The 25,900-nt window shown below is 34.7% G+C and overlaps 3 annotated features.

The window, feature by feature from the left end:
- Positions 230-864: an enhancer, noted in NCBI's record as "OCT4-NANOG-H3K27ac hESC enhancer chr4:162118905-162119539 (GRCh37/hg19 assembly coordinates)". NCBI's record gives its function as "activates a minimal SCP1, AML or CMV promoter by ChIP-STARR-seq in primed H9 embryonic stem cells {active_cell/tissue: H9 hESC(primed)}" and the evidence as "EXISTENCE:reporter gene assay evidence [ECO:0000049][PMID:30033119]".
- Positions 8,495-8,664: an enhancer, noted in NCBI's record as "experimental_75396 CRE fragment used in MPRA reporter constructs". NCBI's record gives its function as "activates a minimal promoter by MPRAs in K562 erythroleukemia cells, with activity observed for the non-introgressed 4:162111190 variant allele {active_cell/tissue: K562}" and the evidence as "EXISTENCE:reporter gene assay evidence [ECO:0000049][PMID:34662402]".
- Positions 24,029-24,198: an enhancer, noted in NCBI's record as "experimental_75379 CRE fragment used in MPRA reporter constructs". NCBI's record gives its function as "activates a minimal promoter by MPRAs in K562 erythroleukemia cells, with activity observed for the introgressed 4:162095656 variant allele {active_cell/tissue: K562}" and the evidence as "EXISTENCE:reporter gene assay evidence [ECO:0000049][PMID:34662402]".

The raw sequence follows: 25,900 nt of genomic DNA, 5'->3' as shown, positions 1-25,900 counted from the left end.
TTCAGAACAGTTTTTCTCATATTCTCTTCTTTTTTCTCTCTTTCCTTTATTACTCTTTATTTTAATCTTGCTGCCTTCCAGAAGCAAAATCATATGTATGTAATAATGGAACCTAATTTAAGAAGTTTAGTCATATGTGGTTTAAATAGCAGGTATACTGTAAAAGCAGTAAAATTACGTATATATAATATATATGTACATATGTGTGTATAATAATTTTGTTTACTTACTGTAAGAGGAAGAAATTTTGTGTATATATATACATATATGTGTGTGCATGTGTGTATTACAAAAGCAAAGTAAAATCTCAGTGCCCCAAACTCACTATGCCAAAGGGAAAGTTGAGCATGGGAATGGAGTCATGAAAAAACTGCCTCTTGAAAAATTCCAGACAGACAGCTATAATTTTACATTTACTTTGTCTTATGTAAAATGTAGATCTACCAAGCATGACACAAATGCATATTTGACATTTTTCCCCACTCCTCTCTTTTCTCATGTAAAATGTGGATTCAGTGAGCTCTAATCAAAGCCTCACAAGAATGTAACCACTTGCCTCATCGCCTATCCTTCTTTTTCTTTCTCCCTCCTCCCCCTCATGCTTGTTCTTTCCCCTTTAAATATTGAAGTCTTCAAGATCCTCTTTGAAAAAAGCATAGGCCACAGATCTTACTGTAACTTGTATTTCTTTTTCTCTAGTGCGTCTTCCACTTTAGCGAAGTAAACCTTTAAATTAATGGAGATGTCTCTCAGAAACTTTTTGATTTATAGTATACACACACACACACACACACGCACACACACACATTTATTTCCAGTCTCCTGATTTTACTCGTAAGAACTCTCAGAGATTGTCTCATGTGTATACATCTATTCACATGCTAATATTTTTGACTATCGTGTGTTCTTTTTTTTGAGACAGGGTCTTGCTCTGTCACCCAGGCTGGAGTGCAGGGGCACAAACAGGACTCATTGCAAACTCTGGGGCTCAAGCTATCCTCCCACCTCAGCCTCCTGAGTAGATGCATGTCACCATGCCTGGCAATTTTTTTTTTTTTTTTTTTTTTTTTTTTGTAGAGTCTGGGTCTCACTGTGTTTCCCAGGCTGGTCTCAAACTCCTGGGCTCAACCAATCTTCTCGTTTCAGCCTCCTAAAGTGCTGGGATTACAGACATGAGCCCTGTACCTAGCCTGTTTGTTATTTTGATAAACTGCTGTTCCATTTCCCAGCAAGGTTGCTGGATGCCAATGTGCCAGTCAAACAAACATGCTGCTTCTCTGTCTTCTCCTTTCCAGTGCTTTTTTAGCTTTCTAAAAAAGAATTAGGTAGTTTGTTCCATGTATTGTCATGTAGGCAAAATAGTTGCTACAGCTTAATACAATGGAATGAAAAATTGTCCAGATAAATTTTTCTGGGATTTCTTTTATTTTAGCAATAAAAATGCTGCACCTTGGAAAAAATTCCTCTCCAGGATTTGAAAAGTCTTATTTTTTAGAATGAGGGTCAAAGTTTGGGAGAAAATATAGAACCCATATTGTAGTCATCAATATAGGGCCTAAAATCAACACTGTTATTAGCGTTAAATGGGTATGTCACTGACTATCAGCCTTCAGTAGTCTCTGCTCTTTTTTCTGACCTCTGATATGAGCAACTCTTATCTGCAGTCATAGATCACTCACTGTTGCATCCTTCCCAATTGTGTGACTTACGTGTGCAATTTGTGTTTATAATTGCGAATGTTAATATTTTATTGTTGACTTTTCCTATGGCAAACTCAATTGTAATGCTTTGTATCATGATAATGCTGGCTTAATTTTTATGATTTAAGACATTTTAACATATTGTGACCAAATTTTCTAAGAATTAAGATAATAATAATGAGAATGAATGATTACAATACCAATGCCAAGATGAGCCAGACATCAGTGAAAAAGAGGGCTAACCAACTGTGTCATTTGAATGGCAGATGGAAGGACACATACAACTAGATCAGGGCGGTAAATAATCACAACAGAGCCTATCAGACAATCCGCAGAGAAGAATTTATGATTGGACCTGGCAGAGCAGAGCATGTGAAAGCACACATGGCGATGGAAATTCTCACATCCAGGATGAGACATACAAATGCTTTTAAACCAACCAAAAGATTTTTCATTTCCCAAAAAGACACTAATCGTATATGGAAAATAGTGACTGCTACATTAGCATGGGCAAACCACAGGAACAAACACACACTTCCCCATTGTTCCCTTGAGGTATGTACAAACTGAGTAAAATACGTTTTCTGACTCAGAGGTGACAACAGAATATCCTGTGGGCAGACACAAAGGAATATTTTAATAACAGACATTTTGGTCTTTTACAGTATAATAATTATGGGGATCTTATCAATAGTCATGCTCCCTAGGTTTACCAAGTATGTTGAACTTTGGTACAGTTTAATCTGAAAGGTAGAGTTTCAAATTATCTTGATTTTCAAAAGGATTTAAATGAAACGGCAGAAAACATGAAACAAATGATCATTGATATCTTGTCCAGATACAAACTAGTTTTTGATCTGCATGTGTCAAATATGACACAAATGTAAACTTTTGCAATTTCTATTTAGATTATAAACTTCTTACCCCCAAAATGAAAACATCTTACCTGCTAAATACCCTGCACATCTTGGAACACAACATTTTTAAAAAAGAGTGAGATTCGCTGACTTGAAATATTGAGGCTTTCATAATAAAGGTTTTGCTCGCTTTTCAGTTTTCCTAACAGATGTACAAGCACTTACTGAGATTTCAACTTTATGGAAATGGAAAGAGATAACCTCCTTAGACATATGCCTACAAGATGGTCATCATTGCTCCTGGCTACAGAGAAGATTTTATGGTTTGCCATAAAATCATACTCTCAAAGTGTGGGAAAATAGGATGTCCTTCTTTAATTTAGAGATACGTTGAGGATGAAAATGGAGAAAAAAATATTACAGTAAAACAGGTTAGATAAAACTGTTTATCTAAAACTGTCTGATGATATTTGAAGAGGACATGAGGAGCTAAGAAAAGGACTGAATTTGAGTTTGTTCACTGTTATATGAAGGTTGTGACAAATTTTACAGTGACAAAAATGACTAAGATTATAGAAATAAAACTGCTTTAAAACAGGGGAAAAATACATCAGAAAAGGTTAGCCAGGTTAAAGAAAACCTCTTTATGTTTTTACTAAAGTTAATCCATTTGAAATTTGACTTAAATTTTATAAATCTAAATTATCTTTGTGCATTAAAAGATTTTCCCTGAATTAAAGGTGTTTAACTCATGATGACATCAATGTGCTTCAGAGCAATTAAAAGTTATGGACATTTTAGACATGAAAATAATAAATCTATAAGTGCAAAGAACCTGATTGACAAGTAGCGGGTCTACCAGAACCAGCCTGTGATATAAGCAGGTGTCACTTTTGGAGAGCCGGGACCTATTTCTACAATTTGTTTCTGGGAAGTGAAATTCTAAGAACTTCAGGCTCAGTGTTTACGTTGAGAGGATCTGTAGCTTGATGTCAATTAACTGAACTTGACAGGAGAGATAATGACACAGGACCTTCCTTCAAGTATCAGGACCTCCTTTCCTAAAGAGAGGTAGAAAGATTTTCTCATACAGTGGACTCTAAAGCATTATCCAGAAGATGCCCTCTAATTGTCCTTTCCCGGTCTGTGAACCAATGGTCCAACCATCACAATGTGAATATACATCCAAAGAAAAGTAAGCCAATACCTTGAGGAGTTATCTGCACTCTTATGTGTATTGTAACATTATAGATAATAGCAAAGATATTAAGAAAACACAAAAAACCTGTGTCTGTTGACAAATGGATTAAAAAATGTGGTGTATATAAACAACGCAATACTATTTAGCCTTAAAATCAAAGGATGTTCTCCCATTTGCAACAACATGGAGGACATTATGCTAAGTGAAATAAGCCAGGCACTGAGAGACAAATACTGCATGATCTCAATTATATGTGGAATCAATAAAAGTCAAAACTCATGCAAGTAGAGAGTAGAATAGTGGTTATCACATTTGGAAAAGATAAGGGGTGGGGAATGGAGTGATATTGGTCAAAGGGTACAAAGTTTCAGTTATAAAAGAGGAATAAGTTCTAGAAATCTATTATATAGCATAGTGACTACAGCCAATAGTAATGTATTATGTATTTAAAAATTGTGAAAAGTGTAGATTTTATATGTTCCTACCTCGAAAAAGTATATGAGGGGATATATTTATTAATTAGATTAATTGTGATAATTATTTCACAATGTATATGTATATCAAAACATCATGTTGTACCCCATAGATACAATGATTGTCAAATAAAAATTTAAAAAATTTAGATTTAATCAAAACTTTTTGTAAATTAGTTATAAATGCTTAATTGATGTTGTGAATATTACTTTTAATGCATGGAAACTCAAGCTTTAGAGACACCACCTGGGAGGTAAGAAAAGGAAATAAAAAGAGATAGTGATACAGACAAGAAATTTACCACTGTATTAAGAATCCCAACAGGCCACAATATCATGAAAAATGTAAAAAAATTACACATCATGGGTGATCAGTGACACCAAACGCTTCAAAAGATCTGGGACTGGGTACAGTGGCTCATGCCTATAATTCTAACATTTTGGAAGGCCAAGGCAGGAGGATTACTTGAGCCTAGGAGTTCCAGACAAGCCTGGGTAACATAGTGAGAGCCCATCTCTCCAAAAAAAAAAATTAGCCAGGTGTGGCAGCAGCACATGCCTATGGTTCTAGCTACTCCAAGAGGCTGAGGTAGGAAGATCATTTGAGCCTGGGAGGTTGAGGCTGCAGTGAGCTATTATTGTACCACTGCACTCCAGCCTAGGCAACAGAATGAGACACTATCTCAAAAAAAAATAAATTACATTAATAAAGAAAGATACACTTAACAAGAGTTTGGACATGTTAGAAAAGAAGGGCATATATTCAGAAGCTAAAGCCTCATATATATTAAAAGATGATAACCAGAGACAAGGTATGACTGTACGCTAATTTCACAAATGGTATATATATTTTTACTGCTATACTGAGGTGAGATCAGGATATGAGAAAAAAACTCAGGATTTTCTATTAGGTATGAGACAAGTTATATTATTGAGGGCGAGTGAGAATGAGCTGAGGTTGGGAACTTAAAAGTAAAATGAATCCTTGTGTGATAACATCTGCGGGACAAACACTAGAGGGTCAATTAGAGATAGGCAAAATACTAGTGAAGCATCAACAAGGATAAGTTTGAATCACTGTTTGACTTCAGGAATGACTATTTTTAAGGAAATCTGCACATAGACTTAATCAAGTCTTACACAAACTAGTTTGAATAACTAAAGTCTTATGCCTTTTTTCTATAAGTTCCAATATTTAGACAAATATTTTATTCACTAGAGCTATACATTTTTCACTTTGTCCCTTCTTTGATTAGTATGACCTCCACTCCAGGGAAATTGAAGTAATCTATAATAAAGGGTTGAGCTACAAAGTTCTAAAGCAAATTAACCTTTGGAAAAATGTGCCATGGTTTCTGTAACGAAAAGAATGAGAATTCTAAGAATAATATTATTTAGTACTTCTCTCCTCTATATAAACGGGGCCTTATTTGCACTCAAACAGCTAATCAAAAGACAAACTGTAAGTATATGTCTGGAAATTCTATCCTTAAGCCTCTAAGGCCAAATACTTTCCTTTTAAAAAAATGACAGCTTTAGACAAGGGTAAATTTGACATTTACCAAAAATCTCCAGAGGTAACTCTGTAGAATGTCAATATTAAACTTTCTTGACTTTGACTCTTATATAAATGCAGAAAGTCTTTTTTTATCATTTGGAATTTTGAAATTTCATTTTTATTTTATAAATATATTTTATGTTCAAAATATAAATAATTTTTGAATGCTTAGACTTTGCTATTAATTTTTTCCATAAAATGTTATAAAAATTTTAGTGACTAGATATAATAATATTGGCAGCAGCATTGTGATTATATGATAAAAGGGCTTAGAAATTCAAACTGTGGATGTGACACCTTTAGAAGAGTGTAACATAGGGAATATGACAGTATGCTATGCTGACAAATATATTCCAACACTGGTATTAGTAAATTTTGATGCAAATATATAAGGAAGAAGTTAATAAAAGTATATATAAGACTTCTATTTTCTAATGTCACAAATTGTTTTTGTGACAAGATAAAGACAAAATAAAGGCAACAAATGAATGATATGAATGGTAGAAGCAGCCATGGAGCAAATTAACAATTATAATAACTGGACTGTGATATAAAGTAAGAAAAGAGAATATTAAGAAGTTTCATAAAATACTGAAATCTTTGTGGTGGTAACCACATTAAAAACATTTGAAGTCATTTTAAGCAGACTTAAGTGTGTATAATAAAGTCTTGTTTCTGAGAAACGCAATGAGAGATTATCAACACTATGAGTTGTATATTTCCTGTGAAACTTCCAAAGAAGGTCATCCAACAGGTAAATGCAAACAGAACCAGTATCGTAATAAGAATGAATTCTCAATGTTCCTGTGTATGCTAGTAGTCCCAAATGATGCATTCAGCATTACAGTTATCTAAATACACATTTTTAAAAACCCAGTCTCATTCATGGATACAGTAGGTACCATATTTGTGTCCCAAAATGACACTCTTTAGTTCCAAGTACTCTATTAAACTCAAGATAAGGGCAAATAATGGACTCAGTCCCATTTCCTGGGAGTTATGTTCACAACGTCAACAAATAGTGTGGACATATTTTACCTCTAAACATCTTAAAGTCATTTTATTTTATCCTAACTAACAAAAACTTGTCTTAAAAACGTGAACATTTGTCTATGACATCTTGCACTTTGCACACTATGGAACAGTTGTAAGGAGAATAGATGATTCTTATATGTTATTGTAAAACTATGAGGAATTGCACATTGTGCATAATAAAAACCATAGAGCTTTATGAGATCCATTTATGAAAGAAAAATAATGATCTCCCCAAGCACAGTCATAGGTGGTCATGCAATGCATAGCAGAAGCACGATGATGCTATTAGGAAGAGGTTTTTGCTGTGCTTGTTTTTCACATAATCTCTAACTTAGGCTTTTATTGTCTTATCTTCCATCAGTTATATCAGACAGCAGGTGACAGATACAGGTAGGAATTGAAAAGCTTGCAGGTGAACCTTGAGGATTGTAAACCCTATTTTGATCTCTAAGATCACTGCATTTGTCTGTTTTTCCTTTCTTCACTGCATGATACTCTAAATAGAATATACTCAATCAGTGGAAGAGAGAGGCTAGGTTGCTCCACTTAACAAGAAGTTCAAAAAGGAGAGAAAGGCAGAGAAGAAAAACCACATTGTGAGATGCAGGTAGCTGAGTTGTGGTTTAACTGCATGAGAAACTGCAGAAGAGATGTATCAATAAAATTGGATAGAAAAGCAGGAATTTTGAAAAATTTGATATAGATTTTGAATTAGTTACCTTTTAGTAATCTTTTATAGATTCAGATAAAGAATATAATTCCATTGTAGTTACTAATCTTCTGTAAGCTGCTTTAAAAGTAATTCAGTGTAGAAGTTGAAACATTTGTCACCTGAATTTATCAGTTTTTTTCTTGAGGAGCTCATCTTAGATTTTGAAATTTAGGTGTTATATTAACCTATAGGGTAAACTTATGTAATTCAATAAATTCAGAAATCTAAACTGTCTCCTCCAGAAAACAGCAAACTGTTTTATTCCCACACAATTTCAAGGAAACTACTTTGCTTAAGAATTTGAATTCCTTTTTGGATGATGAAAGAAAGGCAATATTTAAAATTGTTTTAGTGCCTCTGCCTGGCAGTCAACATGAGAACTTCCAGGATTTGAGGTTGCTGCTATGAAAAGCATGATTAAGTTGCTGGTATAGTCGAATTGCTATTAGAAACTTGAGTAATTTTATTAGATAATGTTTCACTAATTGGTACATTTACATAAATATAAATATGTTTAATATGTTTATACACACATGTAGTGCTATGGTCAGGACATCATTTAAAATTGTTTACATATGAGCTAATTTAGAGCAGAAAAATTCACTAGCTGTGTGAGAATATATAAGGTACACATAAAAGGGTGTTTCCAAATTCAGAGGCATAAGATATGCTTTATTATTTTATTGTAACGTATTTTACTCACTGTCCTAGAAAAATGTCCATGTGTTTATGTATATGTCTCTGTGTGTGACGTTGCTAAAGTTAAAGTACATATCAAAAAAGTTTGAGGAGGTATATTATACTGTACATCACCATTGGCCTCAGTTCCAACACCTGATAGTCTAGAAATGTGTTGAAAAGCTGAGAATAGTGATTGCAATTTTGGTGTCATTTGTATGATGAATTTATTGTCACACGCTGAGGGATGGGCTCAGGCAAACACTATTAAGTATCATATTTGTTAACTAGAAAGAAGAAAGTTACCAATAGCCCCCTGTTCTCTTGGCATCTTTTGAAAAGAAAGACATGTTTGGACTAGGCACAGCTGGAAATAACATGGTTCTCCAGGGGAGGAATTTTCACCACAATATGTTCCACATTGTTATGCAAAAAGTATTTGAATGAACTTAAAAATAGCAGCTTGAGATTGGGCACTATCTGCTTAGTGCAGTTGCACTGAGGTCACTGGAAAACCTTAAAGAATGCTGAAACAGTTCACAGATTCTTCTACCACCTGGCAATGGTACGTACTGGCTCACTACCAAGTAATGCAAACAGAATTGTCATAGTCTTTAATATTACAGAAAATCCTGTTTGACTCTGCCCCGTGAACTTCTGCTCTTCAGGAATAATCAAACATAATCCTTATTTATCAGGATATACAATTAACTGACTCAAGAATAGGATAAAAGAGAGAGGAAGATATTATCCTTCCGATCCCACTTCCAGGGTTTAGCAGTGTTTATGACTAATCAGTCGGGATTTTCATCCCCTTGAGTGTGAAACTTCTCTCTTACCCAGCAGAGAACATTCTGCCACAATATGTGATCTCTGGCAACACAAGAGAGTATCTGCAGAGCCACCTGAAATGAAATCAGTGCCCAAATTGTGTCCATCTAGTTGCCCTTCATCTAAGCAGTAGGAATGGCCTGCTAAGGCATCCATCCATCTGCCTGCTAAGCTCAAAGCTGTTACAAAAACAAAGAGAGATCACCAAGATTCTCTATTTTCCACTTACTTGTAAATTTCCAGTTTTGTCACAATAGGAGGTCTGAGTATTGATTGCCTTTCTTTTGCAGACTTTTCTATCAGCATTTTTGTTGCCAACAGTTGCTATTTTGAAGCCATCGGTAAATGTCACAATAAGCAATTCCAACTGCTATTTTGACACAGAAAGTCAGTGAACAAAAGTCACCATCCAGTCTAAGGAACTTTGTATGGCAGACATTTGGAATGAAAATTAACAGTTTTAATTTTTAACTGTCCTCCCACTAGGGAACTACTTTTTCCAAACTCCTTGCTTGTTATTTCTTCTAAAAACTATGTAGCCTGATACTATGTTTAAGGACATGCCCATCCTTACAAAACGTGTGCGTTTAAGTTTTATTTTCAGTTATCTGGTTTCCCTGCATCTCTGCCCCAAATTATTAGCCACTGGCAAGCTCCTTAGGGGATTACTTCACCTTAAGGACAAAACTGGAAACTTTTCTTCGTCCTATCCAGCTTCCTTAGTTATCTTTCCAGGCCCATTGGCTTTTAGCAGGAGCTAAAAGGAAAGCTCCTGCTAGCCTGGGGAACATACCTGTGAGGAGAAGGGCAAGCAAGTGGGAGCATGCAACCAAAGGCACACAGTGCTCAATATCGCCAGTTTTGTGGAGCGCAGCTTGTGATTAGAAACCTGAAATAGGTTTAGCTAAACTTGCGTAGCTAAAATTTTAGAAATCGGATGTGCTCCTTCTCATCCATTGGATTGTCCAAAGGCAAAGAACAAAAATATGACGACTCTAAAGAAACTACACATTTGAAAAAGGAAATAGCATACGCAGCTAGACTGATTGGACAGTAGCCTCAGTGATCATCAGGAGAGAGTGCCATCCGCTATCCCCCACCCAGTAAAAAACTATCTGGAATCTATCAGTACCAAATTTATAATTTGCTTTCTCTAATCAGGAAGTTTTAGCTGCATAAGAAAAAGGTAGTTGTATTGGGAAGCATTCAACCAGAGAAACGAAACAAGTAGGATACATACATATGTTATTTATGAGTGAGTTATTCAATTTTATATGGATTTATTGCAAGGAATTAAGATATATAATTGCAAGGTCTGGCTAAGCAAATCCAGAATTCCTAGGGCTGGATTTTTAAACAATAATCTCTACTCTATTCTTCATGTATGGTAATATCCCAAAATATAGGCCTAGAGTTTACTTTATATGGATCATACTTCTTCTCTAAAAGTGTATAAGGTCTAGAATTTCATACTGCTTCCATCTAAAACCTCAGGACTAGTTTACCTCAAAGCTATTCAGAAAACTGCCACTGTTCGGCACTCTGAATACTTCCAAGAAAATAAAAGAGGAGATAGTTTGCTTTTTAAACTTTCCACCTATCAGGTTTGTGCAAAAGTAATTGCATTTTGCCACTAAAAGTAATGCAAAAACTGCAATTACTTTTGCACCAACCTAATATTTAATATTAATATTTCTACTGCAGTCATAAAAGCTGGAAGTCATAATTGTATGTTGTATGACCTAGTAACATGCCTCTCAGAGTAGAGGTGAATGTGACATTTCATGCTGGCAGGAGCAATTCTTGAAACTACAAATCTAATCTTATTTGCTGGACCCAGATTGGGGGCAGTATTGCTTTGTGATTACATCATAAACTTTAGAATATGATAGACATAGTTACAAGGAATGAATCTTCTTCACATAAACAAATCACTTAACCTTTGAAATCTTCAATTTTCTCACTGTAAAATAAAAAGTAATAGCGCCTATTTTTTGAGATGTCCTGAAATTTAAATGGGATAATTACTTTTATTCTTATACTGTGCCCAGCAGGTAGAAGAAGTGACTATTACATGATGATTTTATTATGATATGCACTAAAATTGTAAGCTTGATGTTCTCTATGTGAATAGTTTACCTGTTTTGTACACAATGAACTATACAGTGGTATGGGCAGAAAAATCATTCCCTGAAAAGACACCAGAAAAATGAGAAGTGAGCATAGCATTGTTCAATAAAAAACAAATAGGCTTTAAAGATTTATGTTAAAATTACTTTAAATACATGCATAATTTGGCCATCACATTAATTCTCTGAACCTCATTCTTCTCATTTGTATAATGAAAATAGCAATATGTATGTCTCAAATTTGTTGTGAAGATTAAACATAACAATTATGAATTAATGACAGAAAATATTTTAGGTGCTTAAAGCTTTTGCATGTTATGTCCTTTCATTCTTACAGAAATTACTAATGGTGGGTGACAGTATTATTTCTATTTTACCCTTGAGGGACGGTTCTTGTAGAGAAGTAAGAAATTTGCCAAAGGTCATCAAACAAGTTAATCAAAATTGAATTATGTCGTACTTTAAAGCCTGTGTACTTAAGCCCTCTACTAACATTTCTGGCACTGTTCTTGATATTTGATAAGCAGCTGGCATCTGGTAAACACTCAATTATTTTTATTAGCTTTCCTCTTTTCCTAATTAACTTCATGTCCAGAAAAAAGAAGTAACCCTCTAGAGCTTGTTGGAACAAAATTGTTCTCTCATTATTTTGAGAAAATAGTAACATCACAGGCTATTTTTCTGTGGCTAGATAAACATTCTTTTAATCACTAGCTTAGGATACAAATACAAAGATGTATGAATTAAGTCAATGAACTTAAGCATCATTTATTTCTCATGCATGAAGACAAACACTTGTTTAGTTTTACTTTCTACCTTAACTGGTTATAAGACAGCCTCCTTCTGAATAGAAATGATCTTTTTTTCCCAATAGTAACCAGGAATAGCACATTTTAAGACCCTTTGAGGGACAAAAAAAAAAAAAAAGCATAATTGTTCAACAATGGTGGCAATTATTATCTTTCTATTATAAACTTATAAATAATGCCATATATTTTGCAATGTTTCCAAGTAAACCTCCTTAATTTCAATACCTCACATATTAGCGACCCAACATAAAGCAAAATATGAATAGGAATGGAATGCATTTACAATTCATTCACAGAGAAAGGCATTTTTATTTCTTTACTACATTTCTGGAAGCCAACATAAACAAATGTTCATAATCTTTACTAACACATGAAATCTTTTTAGAATAACATAATGTAACTAACTTGTTTTTACATATTTAGTGGCACATTACCAAGTAAAGCAGATGAACAGATGGTATTTAAAAAATAGGCAATTAGGAAACATTTGACTCCAGCCCTTCATTTAGGTTTTACAGCTGTTTTATGTTTGATCATGGCAAGTCTTTGGATAAATGCAACTTTGGGAAACTAAGGTGCTGACTTTTTTTGCTGTTTTAGTTTAGTTTTGTTTTAACACCAGAAGTGGCTCCCTCAAGTGAAGAGTATAAAGTTGCTGGGCTCTCTTAGGATCCAAAGGAAATTACTTGTGGCATGAAGTGTGGTGGTAAAGCACTGTTACTTTTTATCAAGATGTAATCCAATAAGTCAGTGGGGATACACCATTGCCCCTGAAACATAAAATAAAATGTCACAATGACCATCTATTTATATGCATCTCTATAAAGAGACCAAAGGGAAAGATAATGGATTTTTCTGAGGTCTCTAGGTTTCCAAAATGCCCAGATACATTATCATATTCAATAGTGAAATAAAAAAATCTCCCCTGATATCTCAGTATTTTAACAACCCAGGTAAGAACTCACATTTGGCAAATTTAAGCTAAAATGTAACCTTTGACATTTATAAGATGCTGCATTTGAATACTAAAATTTTGATGCAATCAACTTTATTTTGTGACAACCACAAGCAATTATGTATTTACATCTATAGTTTCATAGCTTTTACAATACACTGCAGTTTTGTCTATATATAGTTTGATTATATATATCTTCTGAACTGGCATGTTTAAGGGGATATTCCATTATATTCTTTATATTATTGAAAACTGAACTCCAAGGAAGTAACAGATCCTTCATGAAGGTCTATTTAGTGTGCTTGATCTTCAGAAACATGATTTCAATTTCATGGTCTTTTGAGGTATTTGTGGGTTTCAGAATATATCTGCAGTTTCTAGCTACTAGTGCAAAGATGGCAATAGAAACAATACTAATTGTAATTAACCATAATATTGTGGAGTTTAGATTTATGACTTAAACATTTATGTAGAGCCAGAGGTCATTTTAAATGTTTCTTTTTGTTACCTTAGTTTACTATGAGGTAGGTATTATTGTAATCTGTTTTTTAAATAATGAAATTTAAACACTGAGATTTTAAGTAAATTTATAAAAGCATACCACAAACAACCTGTGAAACCTGCTTTTGTACCCAGCATGGGGTCTTTGTAATCTCTGCTTTCCACAGTGTATGTGATGGTTGTTTTGGTATAATTTGTATCCCATCTTTCATTTCCCACATAATTGAATCTTATTTCTTATAGGAAACCTATTTCATCGGATTTATGTGAATACAGTTTTACCAGCAATTTATACCATAGGGCTAGACAACCAATATTTGCCTAATTTTTGACAGATGCACCCTGGGCAAAAAAGGGTCTCTCATCCTTTAAGACAGATACTTGTGAATGTCAGTCAGAAGATTTCCACCAATTTTCCTGGCTTTATGAAAGTGTCAAATACAGAACAGAAAGAAAGAAAAATGTGCAAAGAAAAACAGAATTTATAAATGGACAGAAGAAAACATGAGCCAAAATACCAATCCTGGTGTACCTACAGTCAGATGAGGCCATGGTACTGTTTCATGAATAATGAATAACCCAATTTAGCTTAAGCTTAAAGGACAACTTAAAATCATCAAACTTTCCTTTTACAAATGAGGAGGAAAGCTAAGGAAGGTTAACTTTAGCTTCACTTTCACTTCAGTTTCCTGAAGGGAGGAGTTGTGTGTTTGATGTAATTGCACATGAAGGCACAGGAAAATATATGTTGATGAAGGAAGAAAAGATGGGGTGCAATGCTAATAATTACAAGCATTGTAATGGGCAAAGTGGGACCCATACATCCAGAGAAGTCGTTGATGTTTGATTAGGATGCATTTACCCTGTACTTGAGTACATTCACATTGAATATTTTTTATCATTATCATCATATTTTTTTAAAATATTGAAAGAAACTAAGATATACTAAGGGAAACCTTGATGACTATTGACAAATATATACATCCATGTAACTGATGCCTCTATTATGACACCGAACATCCCCTCATGGAAGAATTTTTTTACATCTTTTCCCAGTTGATTCCTATCACCAGTCATCTCTTCTGAATTCTATCAGGGGTTAGTTTGGATTGCCTAAAATATCATGCAGTGGGTAGGAATGTAAATTAGTACAGGCAGTATGGAAAGCAGCATGGAGATTGCTTTAAAAACTAAAAATAGAATGACCGTACAATCTAACAATCCCTCTACTGAATATTTATCCAGAGATAAGGAGTAAATATGTCAAAGGATAGGTGCACTCCCATAATTATTGCAGCACCATCCACAATAGCAAAGGAATGGGAATCAACGTAAGTGTCAATCAATGGATAAGTGGGTAAAGAAAATGTGTTATATACACACACAATTAAATACTATTCATCCATAAAAATGTATACAATCGTGTCATTTACAGTGACACAGATGGAACTATATATATGGAGGTTGAGTGAAATAAGTCAGGCACAGAAAGACAAATATTGAATGTTCTCACTCATATGTGGGAGCTGAAAAAGTTGATCACATGGAGGTAGACAGTGGAATATAATATTAGAGACTTGGAAGGATGTGTGGGTGGAAAAGGAGGGATGTAGAGAGGTTGGTTAATGGGTACAAACAGTTAGATAGCAGAAATTATTTCTAATCTTTGATAGTGGACATTGTATTATATTTTTCAAAATAGCTAGAATTGAGGCCCTGAAATGTTCTCAAGACATAAAAATGATACTCAGGTGATGGATACTTTAAACACCTCAACCTGATTATCACACATTCTATGCATGTAATAAAATTTCATATATGTCCCATAAATATATACAAACATAGTGTATCAAAAAATAACAAAGTCAAGTGCTACAGTTAAACAACTTCATTTTTCAATTTTCATGCAAATAGGATCATACGATATAAACTCTTGTGTCTGACTTCTTTCTATCTAAACACTGTTAATATCCTCTTTCACAAAAAAGGAAAGTAAGATAAGGAGAATAAATAATTAGCGATTAATCATTACTAGGCGAAGGTCATCCAGACAGTAGATATCAGAGCTCAGATCCAAACTTAGCAGCTTTGTTCCAAAGTCCATGCTCCCAAGAGACAGGTTTAATGTCCACTTGTTTGAATTTCCATGTATTTAAATTTAATAGCTAAATGCATTATCAAAGGTTAAGGATTTGAATTTTATTATAGAATATGTTTATTATTATAAAAATTATCTAACTAATATTAAATCACAGTGATTTCCTTACGTTACTCTAGCATATTTTATACACACAAAGGAAAGAGAACCAAAGCAATCATTTAGAAATTTAAACCATAAAAATTTGCTTTGATTGAATTATTTTACTGTTTTAACAATTGTTTTTACCAAAGTGTTTATAATTAATCTCTAAATATTCAATTTCCATTTCACCCTGTATATGTAGACCTAGCTTTAATTGGGGCAAAATATTACAAACAAAAAGAGGTAAAATATATGTATAGATATATATATACACACACATATATCTCTCTCTCATATGTTAAAGATAAATTTACAATTACATAATAGGGTCGTTAGTTTAACTGGTTCTGACTGAAGCATTGATATAATGGAATTATTAAACAACATTTTGCATTAAAAACAATATTGTAGCAGGATTTTTTTAAAAAAGACTGTTATTAATCAGTTGATGCTGTGAGAATCAAGAAAGCTATGTACAGAGGTATTTTCTTATTGAATTATTTGAGTGAAATTATTTAGTGAAAATTTGGCATAATGATGCCATAAAATATTGTCTGAGAAAGAATTGCTGCAAACTCCTTATGAGTTCCCAAATGGAACAACATTCTTTATTGAAATTTAAAGCCTCTCATTAAGAACTCAGAAGAAAATTATTGACACACTGTGGGATTTTCCAGGGTGAATAGAAAATTATCTGTTTTTCTTCAACATCATATAAAAAAGACGTATATAATGAAACAGATGTGAATGGGGATAATAATGCACAAAGCTGCTTTTTAGGGGACTAATTATTCCTCTCTCAATATTTTTAGGCCTTTTAACTGCTCCTATTATGGTCATTGTTAATCATATATAGGCTCATTTTGATAATATTTTCCAGGCATAAGCATAAAAAGCTATGTCCTCCCGAAGAATAATTTAAATTTCTGTCACCTCCTCCACAACTTGCCCTCCCACTTCCTCTTTCCTGACCCTGGTGAGCTAAAATGGCATTTAAATTGGTAAAGTAATGAGCTTTATATAAGACACATATAAATCAATTGGCAGAGATAGATTTTATTTTTATATTAGCTGTAATATAGAGAAGAATGTGATTTGTCCTTTGTCAAAAGAATTACCTGGGCCAGGCGCGATGGCTCACGCCTGTAATCTCAGCACTTTGGGAGGCCGAGGTGGGTGGATCACGAGGTCAGGAGATCGAGACCATCCTGGCTAACATGGTGAAACCTCGTCTCTACTAAAAGTACAAAAAATTAGCCAGGCGTGGTGGCGGGCGCCTGTAGTCCCAGCTACTCGGGAGGCTGAGGCAGGAGAATGGCATGTACCCGGGAGGCGGAGCTTGCAGTGAGCCGAGATCGCGCCACTGCACTCCAACCTGGGCGACACAGCAAGACTCTGTCTCAAAAAAAAAAAAAAAAAAAAAAAGAATTGCCTGAACCCACCTTCAAAGGGGTGAAAATTGTTCTTTGGAGGTCAGTATATCTAAGATACTACAGTGGTTTGTGGCTTTCCAAAGGACCACAGTATATAAACAGATACACAATGAATTTGTGGTTTTAACATTTTATAGTAGCTGCTGGACAATTAGGGGTAAAAAGTCTAAAAATGCTCTGTCTGGGAGTTGTGATAAACAGAATAGTTATGAAACACGGAAATAATAAAATTATATGAAATATAGCAGTGTTGATTTCAGTAATTGTGGCCATATGTATTTTCTTGTGAATGCAGTAACAAATAATAGATTGCTTGTTATGGGGGGTGAAGGGGAAATTATCAAACTCTAGTTTTTTAAGTTACTGGACCACAGGCAAATTAAATACATATTTGCCAATACTTTCTTAATTTGCAATAACACACCACTCCTTATATTTGAATGAATATACTTAAAATTCTTTTTGTTATAATTTACTTATGAGCCAATTAAGAGGACATAAAGGGAAAACTCTTAACCTATGCCATTACCTTGGTCATAGGTAGGTGTGGAAAATGCTGGATGAATAAGAAGTTTGAAATAACTCTCACACCAAGGGCAGTTGTTTTATGTTTGTTTTACTATTTTTTTTAGATATAGAATTATCCCAAGAAATGTTAATTTTAGGCAGAGATATTGGTAATTCTTGGCTATCAGAAGGTGAAATATGACCATAACTCTCTCAAATTTTAAGAAGGAAGTGTCAAAAAAATACAGACATAAACAGGCAAGGAAGACTTTATTCAAGACTATTGCAATAGGCAACAGAGGTTGAACTCAACTTCTTGAAACATAAACTGGGAAATTGGGGTCCTATGTCCTTCCTGATTACATTTGAACAGGATGGCGCTTAACTCATTGAGCAAGACATCCCTGGGTTATAAAACTGGCAAGAGGCTGGGAGGAAATTCACATCTCAAAAAGGCAGAGAAAAAGTTTACGAATATGTTTTGTAAATTAAATGCCCTAGGGAAATGGAGGTCAGGGGCTCATCGTCAGGAACAAATCTTCCCAAAGTATAGTCTAATTGAGGGGAGCATCAAGCTTTTCTAAGTAAGAATAAGACTATTCATGATCAGGATTTACCATATGATTAAATCAGGCGTTCTCAGGGATGGGGTTATATTATCAGAAATAAAAAGATTAAAGTTAAATATATGTGGTTTTCACTCTCTTTTGGGGATCGAGTTTGTTGGTTAATTTGTTCCAATATGCCATTGAGGTAAAATAAGTTCAAAGATTTTTCTCTTTTTGTTTTTTTGCCGTTTGTTTTGTTTACTTGTTTTTATTTGCCTGATTTTTCTGCATATCCTGATTGACTTCCAAACCCTACTTTAGGACCTCAAAATAAATACATTTTTCTTTGTTGTGTAAAATTTTAGATTCATTAATTTTTGTTTACTTCACTCTGCCTTTCAGATGATAACTTCCGTATATCTAAGATTTGTCAAGAACCTTGCAAAATGCCATTAGGCAGCATAGAATCCCAGCAGTCTAGTACTACTAAAGATCTTTTATGAGGAAAAAATGTAAAATAAGTTTATTAGAATATCACAATGAAGATTTGCAATGAAAATGACCATAGAAGTGTCCCAGAAGTCCTTCAGTTAATACAAAAAAACAAATTTTTGAAATGGGATTATAGGACCACTTGGTTGGGGTCTTAATAGATGTGCATTTGGTATTTATGGTTTCTTTGAGATACATTTTCCTGTTTACATTGTAAATACCATAGTATGCTACATTTCTACTGAGAAAGTTTGGAGCGAATATTCTGGATTTTCCTTTTTTTTTTTTTTTTTTTTGACGTAATAGTAGATAAAAGGAAATGTACTTTCTTTTATAAAAATAATCACAGATTTTCTGGTGGATTCAGTGTGGAGTTCTTGCTTGTCACTTATCTTTGGATGCCAAGAATCACACATCTCTAAGTCACTTCCCTCTTTAATAGTCTCATGTCATATTCTAAAAAACATTTTGTCACATTTCGGCCCTGGATATCCTGAAGTTGTGGGATTCGTGGGGCTGTCACTTAAACTATTTTCCCTAATCTTTTTGGAGTCATCACATTGGTAGATTGAGAGGGGCGAAGCTGGGAGGAGAGCCACTCTTTGCAGTCTAGTTTGGAGCACTGCTGGGGAATTTGAGCTTGGTATCAGGGCACATGTTCTGGAGGAAATGGAGTGGATCAACAAGGCCGTCCTCTGCTTCCTTTGCTCTTTTAGCTGCAGTCTCCACCAAGTTAAATCTGCAAAATCTCCTAGAGTTCTCCTCAAGAACATGAATGGCTCTTGCTAGCTACAACACGTCTGGAAAATATAGATCCGTAAAATCTTTCCTTGTCAGCAATCCATCTTTTCTTTGTCTAGCTTGAAGCCAAGAATCCATAAAGAGCAAATATATTTTCCTTCCTTTCTTAATCACACAAAAGTTTTTTGATCCTAGATGAATGCCGTACAGGTTCTGATGTTCTTTTAAAAAGGGGGGAAAATGAATGTTAGTGCATCCTAATTCTAATAGCTTCTCAGGTTGGCATTATTTTAAATAGATTATCTTAGTGTGAAAAATTTCTTTTAAATGCATCAAATTGAAATTGTATCTGAATATCTGCAGCCGCATATGATCCAAAAAATCACACCCTTAAAATACATACTTCCTGTTATTTTCAAAAGTGTCCAAAGTCACCTGCATGATTACTAGAATCACAGGGTAATATTTCTGAAAGTACTCATATCTTTCTCAGTCAATTTATGGAGCATAGTGGAAATCTATAAAGTAAACCATTAATTAGTAATAATTCCTTTGGTTCCTTGAGCATATCTTGTGTGTCCTTGTATTTATGGAGAATGTTTGCCCATTACAAATCGCCACTTTGCCACCTCCCACCATGAGCTTCCCACCATGCTCGTTTTTCCATTACTCTCTTCGCGTCTTTTCTCATTCTAACAAACCTTAATCCCTATCTAGGGAAATCTTTATTTCCATCTGCATTGCTTTGGGATTACGTAATTTACATCTGCTGTGTCCACAGCCTTTAAGTAAAGCCACAGATTATCAGACTGGGCTTTTTAAATATTGAGTTGGTTCCACTCTTGCACAGCCCACATCCTAAAGTGAGAAATAGTGCTTTTCCTTGTGATGTCACATTCAACTTTTTGAAGACTCGAAATGACTGTATTGAAAGCACAGAGATTTTTCTCTCTTGTAAGGAAGATAAACAGAATGCAAGGAAAATGGACGGTTATTGTTCCCTTACCACTGACACAATAGGGACTTATCACATTATGAACTAACTTAGTGATAGGTAAGCTTAGAAAGGGAAATCCCTTTGCTGAGCTGCAATTTAATGGAAATGGCTCAGAGCTGGTAGGGGAATTTAATCCTAATGCTGGGTGGGATGTATTAGCTCCAGCTAGCATACCAAGGCATCTACCAGCCAATTTAACATCTTTTGTGATGTCTAGCAGGGGTTTCTTAAGTGGGTGTGGTTCAGCGAAGTGCCAGGTTGGTGTGGTGGGAGATATCTCTCCTGGGTGTGTGCAACAAAGCAACACATTTTCTACAGAGAATTTAAGAACCAAGTAAAATCAACTGACAATTGGTAGGCTTTATAATATAAACATGAACTGGCAATTTCAAATAAAGTTAGTAATAAAATATTCCTCAATAAAAATTATACTGATCTGAGTTTCAAAGAATTTATGTGCTTCATATTGAATATATATATATGTGTGTGTGTGTGTGTGTGCAAGCGTGTGCGTGTGTGCAAGTGTGTGCATGTGGGCAAGCGTGTGCGTGTGTGGTTTTCAAATTAGCACATATTTTATTATCTATACCTTAACAAACATCGTATTCTATATGTATATTCTACAAGAAAGTTAATCTGGAAAACTCACAGTTATATAGTTAGTACCTAAATCATACAAATTCACCTTTTAAAAGAGTATATGTAGTAAATTAATCAAATTCCTGTTTGTTTTGGCTCACTTAAGGCTGTTTTGTCTCCAACCCTTATTGTGATACATTTTCCTACACTTAAACAGTAGATTTGAAATAAGCAATAATAGTACAATGAGTACAAAGACAAGGAAAGAGAAGACCTCTTATTTCAATTCCATTATTTTATGTGATCATGTGGAATTTGTGTTTGAAATTTAAAATCAGGAATCAGATTGTGAATTATGAAGTATAATGTTTTTGTTTGGTAAGTGCATATTTTAGATCATATATGAATTTTTTTTTGGTTCATGTTATCTATTACACACAAGGTGCATTAAGAAAAGACCCACTACGTGACACCAACATGCTGTATATGTCATTCAGGTGGTGATGACTACCTTATGCATCCTGGTACCATGAGCCTCTAATGCAAGGGAGATTCAATGGCTCTGTGGAGAAATACTCAGCTCCTTAATCAGCAAAACTGAGGATTATAAATCTCCAAGTTGATATAATTTAGCAATTCTGAAGACATTTCAATCTACATCTTTTACAGTCATGCTGTCTCATCCAGAGAAATGTGTTTGGATCTGAGACATAACCTTGTTATTTTCATCTTCTTTTTTCTGAATTAAAATGACTTTTACCCAGAACCAGTGCATTCAGCACTATTACTGCTCAATCTAGTACAATTTAATTTGTTGGCATCATTTCATTAAATTTATTGAGTTTGATGTAAAATACTTCTGGAATATTTTACATGGTTTTCTTTTTAAATGCTGCCCCAGATTTCAGAAAGACCAGGAAAACACTCCCCAAAATGCCCATAACATCTAAAAGGGTAGTAATGTGTGTCCTACTATGAAAAGAAATAACTCACATCTGCATAACTAGGCACATCTGAGAGCTCAATGGATGGGCAGAATGTTTCTTTGGATCTCCCACTGAGTTTCTACTAAGTATGCCTTGGATGAACATTAGCAATTTCCACTTATCTGATTTTCTTCTCAAATTACAAACCTTTAAATCCTCAGTTGTTTTTGTTTGTTTGTTTTTGTTTTTGTTTCTCTAGATATCCCTTAGGATTTAAGCTTTAAGATAATCTCTTCTATTTACATTTACTTTTGTAGAGCTATAAGAAAAGAATATTTAACTCCTTCAGCTTCCTTTTTCAATATTCATAATTGGATTTCCTTTGCCCTACAAATTCAGTGTAATGTAATGTTTGGCATCGTTTATTTCACCCTTTCTCATCTCTAAGATCAATTGGCATTACTATCCTTGGACCTACACTCTATAGTCATCCTTTTTTGTAGTTACTTTGCGAGAGTAACCTATTTTTATTTCCCTCACCCACTCCCATACATTCCAGCATGGCAAGATGTGTATCTATCATGTATGTATGTATGTATGTATGTATGTATCTATCTATCTATCTATCTATCCATCTAGCTTACATAAATGTATGTGTGTACATGTGTGTGTGTGTGTGTGTACAATCTTGTCTCAGGAAGGACATCAATCCACATTGAAGCCCCATTTCATTAAAGAAAAAGTTTTACCAGTGTGTATTTTTATAGCAATCTTTGCTTCTTTCACCCTCCTCCCCCTTCATCCACTTATTTATATCTATTTAATGTATACTAAATATAATATTTTATAAAATAAAATAGAGGATTCTTTAAAGGGACAGAACTAATAGGATAGACAAATATATGAAAGAGGGTTTATTAGGCAAATTGACACAGAATCACAAGGTGAAGCCCCTTAATATGCCATCTGCAAGCTTAGGAGCCAGGAAGCCAGTCCAAGCTCCAAAACCTCAAAAACAGGGAAACTGATAGTGCTGTCTTCAGTCTGTGGCTGAAGGCCTGAGAGCCCCTGGCAAGTTACCGGTATAAGTCCAAGAGTTCAAAGCTGATGAGCTTGGAGTCTGCTGTTCTAGGGCAGGAAGCATCCAGAACGAGAGAAAGATTAGCAAAATCACGTCTTACATGGTGGCATGCCAGAGAGAGTGTGCAGTGGAACTCCCATTTATAAAACCATAACATCTCAGGAGACTTATTCACTACCATGAGAACAGTACGGGGAAAACTGCTCCCATGATTCAATTATCTCTACCTTGCCTCACCCTTGACACAAGGAGATTATTACAATTCAAGGTGAGATTTGGGTGGGGACACAGCCAAACCATATCACTTGTATTTATTTAATACATTATTCTCAGCTAAGTTATAGATGCCACAATGGAAGGGAGCATGTCTGTCTTGTTTAGTGCTTTATCCCCAGAACTTCACACAGTGCCTCCCTTACAGCAGAATCTCAATACTTTGTGAATTAATGAATAAATAATGGAAGGAATGAATATCTTTTTATTCGTCCAAGTGGCTAGCCTACCCAAATAAGGTTAAAAAACCACAAGGTAGGCTGGGGCCAATTGCTCACGCCTGTAATCCCAGCACTTTGGGAGGCTGAGGTGTGTGGATCACGAGGTCAGGGGTTCAAGACCATCCTGGCCAATATGGTGAAACCCTGTCTCTATTAAAAATACAAAAATTAGCCGGGCATGGTGGCATGTACCTGTAGTCCCAGCTACTTGGGAGGCTGAGGAAGGAGAATTGCTTGAACTCAGGAGGTGGGGGTTGCAGTGAGCTGAGATTGCACCACTACACTCCAGCCTGGGTGACAGACAGAGTGGGACTCCATCTCAAAAAAGAACAAAAAAACCAAACCAAACCAAAACATAACAAAACAAAAACAAGGTATTGCTACAGCTGTGTGACAATTGAAGCTCATAAATCTTAGTATCCATTTCTTTGTTTCTAGAGAATGAGGATATTTTACATTGGATTCCTATGTGATTATATTATGGGTAGTCTTCTTTGTAAGTAAATCTAAGGAAAAGAGATCTAACATTTATTTTGAGCTTGTTATTTATTTTTTGAGACAGGATCTCACTTTGTTACCTTAGGCTGAAGCACAGTGGTGCAACCATGGCTCACTGCAGCCTCGAGCCAATGGGCTCAAGCAATCCTCTCACCTCAGCCTCCTGAGCAGCAAGGATACAGGCATGCACCACCACATCTGGCTATTTTTTGTTTGTTTGTTTTGTATTTTTTGTAGAGACAAGGTTTCACCGTGTTGCCCAGGCTGGTCTGGAACTCCAGAGCTCAAGCTATCTGCCTGCCTGGGCCTCCCAAGCTACTGGAATTATAGGGATTAACCACCACTCCCGGCCTTGAGCTTGTTACTTTCAAGTAACTATTTAAGGACATGTAGAATACATTATTTAATTTGATTAAATTATAGCTTTAGGAAATAACCACTATTATTCTCTTATTGCAAATGATGGAACTGAGACTGAGACGGAACATATAAATTTAAAAAATGTCCATGATTTTTCTTCATCAATGTTGAAACAACATTTTTCTGGGTCCTACTAGGTGCAGGCTATACCAAGAAAACACTGTTGAAGTCTAAGAGGTGAAGTGTGGACGATAAAAGAAACCCTATGCATGCTTCAGCCACAGCAATTGATACACATTTTGAGTTTCCAAGTGAAAATACATTGGAAGAAAGTGACAGATAGCTTTAAAATATGTACATGATTGTACCACGGTATTTTATCTCCCCACATCAGTGCTCAACATTTTGGACTTAATTTTCAAACCATTCAATTTTTTCTGAGTAAATTCTCTGTCCCTAGATTAATCCCATTCATACACTAAGATCTTGAAAAAGAAAAAAAGAGGAGACATGAAAAGGTCTGTGTGTGCGATAGACCCCAGATGCTTCAAGAAATTATCCCTGAACTTCAAAAAATATACTCAAAGACACTAATATCTTTTGATTGCTGGTTCAGTTATTCACTTCTTTTCTATGTTAATAACAAAATCAACAACAAAAGAAACAGGAAAAAAGGCCTTGATAGAGGAAGAATTCTGAGCACATAGGCATTTGAATAAAAATCTTCCTAAGTGATGAATTTTACTGCTGTGTGTTTCTAAAATGAAGCAGTACCGACGCATTTGTGCCATTCATTTCCATACAATTTGTAAAGTTATTACCTATTTGGAATATTACCCACTTTTTTCATGTACAACATAAAAATTTATGATGGATACCCTTTAAATGTGTATCTAAAAGTATGCATTACAATAAAGTATGATTTGTGATGGGAATAAGCATTGTGTCTTCATTTTTAATTACCTTTCTCTTGTAGATGAACTCAGGAAAATATCAAAGTAAAATTTGTCTTGTCACAGTAGAATACACTGGGATAACTAGCATACTATATTAAACACTCCCTAGATTAATAATCAGAGTTATTTTTCTACTAAATAACCACATAGGCTTGAGATCAGTCTTTTTTTTATGGAGACGATTATTGAATTACACAGTCTATATTCTCTTTGTCATTATTCCATGATATAGTATTCCACAAGACAAAAATATTTCTAGGGATTTACATATGCCCATTGAGTTCTGAGAGATTCTTTTATGTATTTTCTATAGTTTTAGATGACAATTATGTTCATATTTTCTAGGACACTAAATGATTCATAACTCTACTATCCTAAGATATTTTATTTTATGTCATAAAATGTGAAGTGGTGCAAAATAAAACTAAGCAGGATAGTCATCTTATGAAAATGAACCTTTCCACTTAAGTTTAGGAGTGACAACTTTTTGAATCAGGTGCCACGTCAGCAAGTTTGCAAAGAAATAAAGTTCAGAAAATATGCAGAAAACACAATACACAGGAGAGAGCAGAATGTTAAATATATTTGTTTATTTTATTATGTAGTA

This window comes from Homo sapiens, chromosome 4, assembly GCF_000001405.40.
Source record: "Homo sapiens chromosome 4, GRCh38.p14 Primary Assembly".
Lineage (NCBI taxonomy): Eukaryota > Metazoa > Chordata > Mammalia > Primates > Hominidae > Homo > Homo sapiens.
This window is presented reverse-complemented; position numbering and strand designations above follow the sequence as displayed.